At 48.8% G+C, this 7,717-nt stretch overlaps 1 protein-coding gene across 5 annotated transcripts in view, besides 4 other annotated features; it reads right to left on the reverse strand.

The window, feature by feature from the left end:
- The window catches only part of ULK2 (unc-51 like autophagy activating kinase 2), a 97,107-nt gene extending 92,676 nt beyond the window's left edge, over window positions 1-4,431 (reverse strand). For all 5 annotated transcript variants that reach the window (XM_047437147.1, NM_001142610.2, NM_014683.4 and 2 more), the window contains exons 1-3: window positions 3,823-4,431; window positions 2,231-2,323; window positions 1,298-1,339 (exon numbers count right to left, since the gene is read on the reverse strand). In XM_047437147.1, the coding sequence (XP_047293103.1) occupies window positions 1,298-1,339; window positions 2,231-2,323; window positions 3,823-3,912 (225 nt within the window). In that variant the 5' untranslated portion in view covers window positions 3,913-4,431. The remainder of the gene's footprint in view (window positions 1-1,297; window positions 1,340-2,230; window positions 2,324-3,822) is intronic.
- Window positions 3,548-4,056: an enhancer, noted in NCBI's record as "H3K27ac hESC enhancer chr17:19770366-19770874 (GRCh37/hg19 assembly coordinates)". NCBI's record gives its function as "activates a minimal SCP1, AML or CMV promoter by ChIP-STARR-seq in primed H9 embryonic stem cells {active_cell/tissue: H9 hESC(primed)}" and the evidence as "EXISTENCE:reporter gene assay evidence [ECO:0000049][PMID:30033119]".
- Window positions 3,548-4,484: a biological region, named in NCBI's record as "H3K27ac hESC enhancer GRCh37_chr17:19770366-19770874".
- Window positions 3,635-3,814: a silencer, noted in NCBI's record as "silent region_8300". NCBI's record gives its function as "represses an Ori minimal core promoter by ATAC-STARR-seq in GM12878 lymphoblastoid cells {active_cell/tissue: GM12878}" and the evidence as "EXISTENCE:reporter gene assay evidence [ECO:0000049][PMID:35858748]".
- Window positions 3,895-4,484: a silencer, noted in NCBI's record as "silent region_8301". NCBI's record gives its function as "represses an Ori minimal core promoter by ATAC-STARR-seq in GM12878 lymphoblastoid cells {active_cell/tissue: GM12878}" and the evidence as "EXISTENCE:reporter gene assay evidence [ECO:0000049][PMID:35858748]".

Consider the following 7,717-nt stretch of genomic DNA (forward strand, 5'->3'; position numbering starts at 1 on the left):
TTTTTTTTTTTAAGAGACGATCTTGCTCTGTTGTCCAGGCAGGACTTCAGTGGCAGGATCACAGCTCACTGCAGCCTTGAACTCCTGTGCTCAAGCGATCTTCCTGCCTCAGCCTCCTGAGTAGCAAGAATTACAGGCTCAAGCCACCACACCCAGCCTGATTCTTGCATTTGAAGGATTTTTTAACATAATATGGCCCTAAATATAAGCCAGCTACTTCATCTGGTGCTACACCCAGAAAACAGCAATTTTCTCCAATGCTGAGATCTGAAAAGGATTTCCAAGAGTAATTTTGACTATACAGAAATTTTGCCTTAGTGATTGACTTTAGAACCTACTTCCCATTCCAAATAAAATGCAACTCTACTGCATGCCATAGCATACACAAATATATCTATAACCTATAATCATAGATATAACTGGGTGATGAACATGCATAGTGACCTTGTTTTTAATTTATTTTCTAATATTTTTTCAATTTACAAATATTGCTTTCATAAGAAGAAAAAGCACTATGTAGGCCATGTGTGGTGGCTCACATCTGTAATCCCAGCACTTTGAGAGGCTGAGGCAGAAGGATCCCTTGAGCCCAGGAGTTCAAGACTAGCCTGAGCAACACAGAGGGACCCTATCTCTACAAAATAAAAAAAATGTTTTTTTAAAAAAAGAACTTCTATTTAGGCGGGGCGCAGTGGCTCACGCCTGTAATCCCAGTACTTTGGGAGGCCAAGGTGGGAGGATGACTTGAGGTCAGGAGTTCGAGACAAGCCTGGCCAACATGGTGAAACTCCATCTCTATGAAAAACACACACACACAAAATTAGCTGGGCATGGTGGTGCACACCTATAGTCCTAGCTACTCGGGAGGCTGAGGCAGGAGAATCGCTTAAACCCGGGAGGTAGCAGTTGCAGTGAGCCGAGATCAAGCCACTGCACTGCAGCCCAAGAGACAGAGTGAGACTCCATCAAAAAAAAAAAAAGCTCTATTTTTAATTGTCCTTTCAACATTCATCAGAGAATGCTAGATCTGGTATCAACAGTCCTCTACTTCACCTAAAACAATGCTACACCTATAGTGTATTATCAATTGTTAATAAACTTACTCATGCAGCAAATTCTTTCAGCCTATTACTCTGTTCTGTTTTAAACAATTTCTTAATTCAGAAACATGTAACTCAAGCTATGCATCTTTTCAACAAGAATTAAGGTCATTTTTATTTCTATTAAGAGTCACTTAAATCTGTATGAAATTAAAAAAAATTTATTTTAATTTTTAAAAATTTTCAAAATAAGGTACCTGAACATCATAGAGTGCTACAATATTTTCATGCTGAAGTTCCTATTAAGAAAATTGAGAATGAAAAATATGTAAGTATTCTAATGACTTTACTATATTTTAATATGTAAATAAAATTAAAGTATACACATACACTTCTAGTATTATACTTATATTAAGACTATAAAAATTCAATTAAAGAATAAGAAATGTGCCTGATCAAACAAAAAGCACATTATCTCACTGAAAGAAAATATGATTTTTAGCTCAAAGAGCTACAATTCTTAAAAAAGAGCTCTCCACAGGAAGCAGTTTTGAGGAAATCGGGTGTTAAATGAGGGTTCCACGCTTGTATTAGTTTGGAAAACACCAGGTTAAGTACTTTGAAACAAGTTTCTTCATTGTAGAATTTTTCAGACTTTCTTTAATGAGCCATAGGCTTTGTGACTCTCCAAGAAGTATTTAGTAAATGGGGTTTTCCAAACGTACTCAACCATCTTCTCAAACCATCCCACTTAGATAACACTGGTTGTGAGTGATCTAAAAAGGCCACCTCCAAGGAATATAACTTTCTTCAATTTAAAGAAAGACCCCAAGCACCCCTACTCCCCCCAAAAAACTTAGTAGTAACATGAAAGGGGACAACAGGAGAGGTAAAAACAATGTACAAGATGGGTCTGCCTGGCCCTCTTCTCAAACAACAACACAGTCACTAGGAAAAAGAGAAATGATGAGAAGCTAAACTCAGTCTTCACAGAATCCCTCTGAGCTTTGGTTCTTAAAAATAGCTTCCGAGTACTCAATGTTTTAAAAAAGTGAGCATGCAAAAAGGAGAGCAACAGTTGAAAATTCTCAAACTTGGACCCAACTACCAAAATTGAAAAGGATGGCAGCATGTATTCATTTAAATTAAGTTTTAACCTTATATGAATACTACTACATAAAGTAACATACCTTTAAGATTTTAATTTCCTTTCCAAGCAGTATTTGTGATTTTGACAAGTTCTTTTTATTAATACTTTTAATAGCTACCTCCCAATCAGTTTTCTGAAAAGGAAAAACAGTGTTACTCCTAGATACCATTCCACATAAATAACAGAAAAAAATTTACAAGCGCGAAGGTGTTTTTGGCAAATAAATGTACGGCATTGGGGAAAAATGGAATTATTTTCAATAATTGGAAAGTGATTTCATAAATTATAGTGCAATATGCCAAGATCCTACAACACAACTTCTAAAAATAACAAATATGAAGTCCACATGGTAACTAACATTAAATGAAAAAAGAACAGTTCACAACCACTTCAAAGTTATGGACAAATGTAGAAATAAACTTGGAAGGTGATACAGTTAATTGAAAAGTTATTTGTTAGCTTGGAAGGATTACACCGTGCTTGAGTTCTAAATTATTTTCCTAATAAATGAAAAGTAGGCCGGGAGCCGTGGCTCACACCTGTAATCCCAGCACTTTGGGAGGCTGAGGCGGGCAGATCGGATCACCTGAGGTCAGGAGTTCAAGACCACACTGGCCAACGTGGTGAAACCCCATCTCTACTAAAAATACAAAAAAAAAAAAATTAGGCGGGCGTGGTGGCGGGCACCTGTAATCCCAGCTACTCAGGAGGCTGAGGCAGGAGAATCGCTTGAGCCCGGGAGGCAGCGGTTGCAGTGAGCGGAGATCTCGCCACGGCACTCCAGCCTCGGCGACAAAGCGAGACTCTGTCTCAAAAATAAATAAATAAATAAATAAGAAAAGTAGCATTACTTCATCCGATAAGCAACAAAGTCAGCCCACTTTTAACACGCCCCTTGGGCAACAATCAGAACTGCCACACCCTTTAAGATTATTTCCACTCCCGATATGCCTTTCCAAATTCTTTAGATTCTAAAACCTCGTGTAACTGTACTTGCGAAACAGCAAAGGCTTAAAACAATTTTTTTAAGGCTTAAAGGTGATTTCATGTTCAAGGTGATTGAAAATGAATTGTCCAACCACCTTTCTCACCCGGAGCTCGTCTATCTGACTCCGGGGGGGAAAACGGTACGGGGGCTCTTCGGGGTGCAGGGGACCAGTGCTGGGAAAGGTGACACCTCCCAGGCTGCGAAAGCCTGAGGCTAATGGGACATCCGCCCATTTTCCGCTGGGTCTGTAATTATCAACCTCAAAAGTGACCAGCCCTGGGCACGGGGAAAAAAACCAAAGGTCCATTCACGCCCAACCCTCGAGTCTGCACGGTGCAGTACCGTCTATTTTGGGTCCAGGGTAACCTGGGTGCAAACGCTCCTGCGGGCGGACCGCGGGGTGGGCCCCGGGCACACAGGAGGATCAGCAGCAGCCGGTCGGTAGGCGGAGCGCTGCCAGAGGCTTGGGCCTCACAACAACCCTCACAGGACCAAAACAAACGGCGAGACGGGCTGCGCGCACAATAGCATACCCGGGCGGCTAGCCGAGTCGGGGGTCTCGGCTCGCGGCTGCGCCAAGTTTCAGAACCACCTAGCCCCGTGCCTGCCGCCCGGGGCCCGGCCTCGCCCCGGCCGGCGCTCACCTGGCGGTGCCGCCCCCGGAAGACCACGGCGAAGGCCCCGTGTCCCACGAGATCCCTCTTGCTGTACTCGAAGTCACCCACCACCTCCATGGCCGCGCCCCCGGGGCACACAGCGGACGGGCGGGCGGCGCAGTGCGGCGCAGGTATCAGCACCGCGGCTCCGCGGGCCCGGAGCGCGCCAGCGTGCGGCGGGTCTGGGGCAGCCGCAGCCCCGGGCCCGGGCGGACTCTCATGCCGAGAGACCGGAGCGGAAACTGGGGAAGCTGCCGCGCGGAGCCAGGGTCAGCGAGGCCCGGCCCGGCCCCTGCCGCTCATGGCCCGGCCTGCCGCCGGCCGCTGGCTGTCTGGCGAAGCGGCCTCGGCGCTGCCGGGCCAGGGGTGCCGTCACCGTCACTGTGCGCGCCCAGAGCCGCACACGCGCTCTGAGGCAGTGAGGGGCCCGGTACTCTCCATCCCCAGCTCGTCGGGCCTCCTCGGCCCTCCCCGCTCGGGGCGCTGCTGCGACGGCGACGGCCGCCGCCCTAGAACCCGCACCGCCGCGGCCCCGCGCTTCCCCGCCTCGCGGCGGCGCCCAACGCCCTCGCGCGCGCTACCCGCTCCCGCGCGACTGGCTGCCCTCCGCGACGTCCGCGCGCCTTGAAGGCCGCAGCGCCAGCCGGCTCCCTCCGCCGGGGAAAGGAGTGCGGCCAGGGCTTGGCGCCCGCAGCTGGGCAGATCCTCGGCCGCTCCTGAGGCGGGGACGAAGGGCGCGACCCGCTGCGGCCACAGCGGGTTACGGGCTGCGGGCTCCGTTCTGGGCCTGGGGAGCAGATTCGAGCCGACCACGCCCCGGGCTCCAGGCCGCTGGGAGGCGGACTTCAGAGAAGCGGGTCTTGAACCCCAGCTGCAGGCAGGACGGGATTATCTGCGCAGGGTAGACCCCCAGATTCCTGCCAGAGCAAAGGAGCAACTGCTACTCCAGGCTTTGCCCGCGCTCTGGAAAACCAGAGTTCACGCTGCCAAACTGCCAGCCTTCGGACGCCTCTCGGGGTTTACTCGCTTAGGATCCCTAGAGGGACGGTGACAGGCGGGATTCTGCACCTTTTGGGGGTCCCTTGACTGCGAGAAGCTGGTGACAGCTCAGGGCCCTCTTCGCAGAGAATCGTTTCTGCACACCGACTCAGAATCGCACACGTTTTCAAGGTTCTCCTGGGAGCTCCTAGTGTCAGGCTAGTTTGACCTCGGGCTTACTTCACATGGCCGAAGGGAGCTTTCTTTTCTACCTGATTGTTAAAGCTGTCCAAGTGACAAGGAACAGATTGTCAGGTTTCCCGCAAAGAAGTGTCTTATGAAACCATTTAATAAACAATATGCTTGAAACTACCATGGAATACGCAGGCTCCACACTTGAGTGTGTGTTCGGTTGTATAGGGTATGTGCTTTTGGGGTCTGTCACCACCTCGACTGCCACTGCCTGTCCCTGCAAGCTGATCTCTGAACCATGACAGAGTCAGCTCCAGGATTCTGAGAGAACGCTCCTTCCTCACACGCTCAAAACGTAGGGCCTTGAGTTTCTGCTTCTGCTACTGTGCACGCTTACGTTATCCTGTCCTTACTTACATCTGGCCCAGGTGGTTGTGTTAGACACTGAAAATCTGGAGCCTTCAAAAGTTGACAGCAACTTAAGCAAGTTTGCACATACACCCAAAAATGGATGGAGATGATTCCTTACCTCACTGAAAGATTCTCTACAGTCTATTTTTTTGTTTACTTTTTTTTTTTTTTTTTTTTTTGAGACAGAATCTTACTCTGTCACCCAGGCTGGAGTGCGGTAGCACAATCTTGGTTCACTGCAACCTCTGCCTCCCAAGTGCAAGTGATTCTGCTGCCTGAGCCTCCCAAGCAGCTAGAATTACAGGCACGCACCACCACGCCCAGCTAATTTTTGTATCTTAGTAGAGATGGGGTTTCACCATGTTGGCCAGGCTGGTCTCAAACTCCCAACTTCAAGGGATCAGCCTGTCTCGGCCTCTCAAAGTGCTGGGATTACAGGCGTGAGCCACCACGCCCGGCCTGTTTTTTGTTTTGAGACAGAGTCTTGCTCTGTTGCCCAGGCTGGAGTGCAATGGCATGATCTCGGCCCACTGCAGCCTCCGCCTCCTGGGTTCAAGTGATTCTCCTGCCTCAGCCTCCCAAGTATCTGGGATTGCAGACCTGCACCACCATGCCCGGCTAATTTTTTTTTTTTTAGTAGAGGTGGGGTTTCACCATGTTGGCTAGGCTGGTCTCAAAACTCCCAACTTCAAGCGATCCGCCCACTTCGGCCTCCCAAAGTGCTGGGATTATAGGTGTGAGCCACCTCACCTAGCCACATGAAGGTTTTTTGTTTGTTTGTTTGTTTGTTTTGAGACGGAGTCTTGCTCTGTCGCCCAGACTGGAGTGCAGTGGCACGATCTCAGCTCACTGCAAGCTCTGCCTCCCGGGTTCACGCCATTCTCCTGCCTCAGCCTCCGGAGTAACTGGGACTACAGGCACCCGCCACCACGCCCGGTTAATTTTTTGTATGTTTTTAGTAGAGACGGGGTTTCACCGTGTTAGCCAGGACAGTCTCCATCTCCTGACCTCGTGATCCGCCCACCTCGGCCTACCAAAGTGCTGGGATTACAGGCGTGAGCCACTGCGCCCGGCCACATGAAGGTATTTTTCAGAAACCTCCAATAGGCCCTTCGTTTGGACATGCGTGTCCTGTATTCACAGGCCAAACATGGGCCCCATGGACATATCCATTTGAAAAGCAAAATGTGCAGGATTTCTGACCTCAAGAGTCAGAAAAGAAGTGGGGGCAGGAGGCAGGGGGTGCTTTGCTAAAAAATGTTTAGTTAGGACTATGTTGGTAGCAAATAGCAAACGTCAAATGTGATAAAGTGAAAAATAAAGAATGTAGATAAAGATACAGGTGTGCTTCTCAGAGTTCAAAGTTGGGCTTCAAAAGCAAACTACCCGCAGAACCAGGATCTCAAAGAGAACTGCCTTCCGTCTGTGCCCCTGCTTTGTTCTCTTGCCTGAGATCTCCTACATGGTGGCAATGGCAGCCCCAGTCTCCAAACCAAATTTTTTTTTTTTTTGAGACGAAGTCTTGCTCTGTCGCCCAGGGTGGAGTACAGTGTTACGATCTCGGCTCACCGCAACCTCCGCCTTCCAGGTTCAAGCGATTCTCCTGCCTCAGCCTCCCAAGTAGCTGGGATTACAGTTGCGTGCCACTGCACCTAGCTAAAATTTTTTTTGCTTTTTTAGTAGAGGCGGGGTTTCACCATGTTGGCCAGGCTGATCTTGAACCCCTGACCTTAGGTAACCCGCCTGCCTCGGCCTCCCAAAGTGCTAAGATTACAGGCGTGAGCCACTGGGCCCAGCCACCAAATTCTTAAGGAGGGGATTCTGATCAACCTAACTTCAGCTGGGTGCTGGGCCCTGAACAATCATCGGAAGCCAGGAATGGGACTGAGGAAGGCAGGATCATGTAACTATGGCTGCCCCCAACACAAGCCTGTGGGTGTTCTGAGTCCCCAGAAGCAGGGGCCACATAGGCACCCCAGGAAGTGTTCACCCTAGGTCAAATTTAGGCTTCATTTGAGAATGGAGGCCAGGGCAGATTTCTAGTTTACCTCTAAAATCACTGGAAATTGCCAATTTGATTCATGTTCATTGTTCTTAATTTGTCCTGTGTGTGCATATGCATGTGTGTCTAAACATGCTTAACTGTTGAAATGTTTCAATACCAGTTAGTAAATAGAAAAACAGTAACTGCAATGAGAGGTAAAATTAATTACTAATATAGGCCAGGCACAGGGGCTCACGCCTATAATCCCAGCACTTTGGGAGACTGAGGTGGGTGGATCACCTGAGGTCAGGAGTTCCA

This window comes from Homo sapiens, chromosome 17 (assembly GCF_000001405.40).
Source record: "Homo sapiens chromosome 17, GRCh38.p14 Primary Assembly".
NCBI lineage: Eukaryota > Metazoa > Chordata > Mammalia > Primates > Hominidae > Homo > Homo sapiens.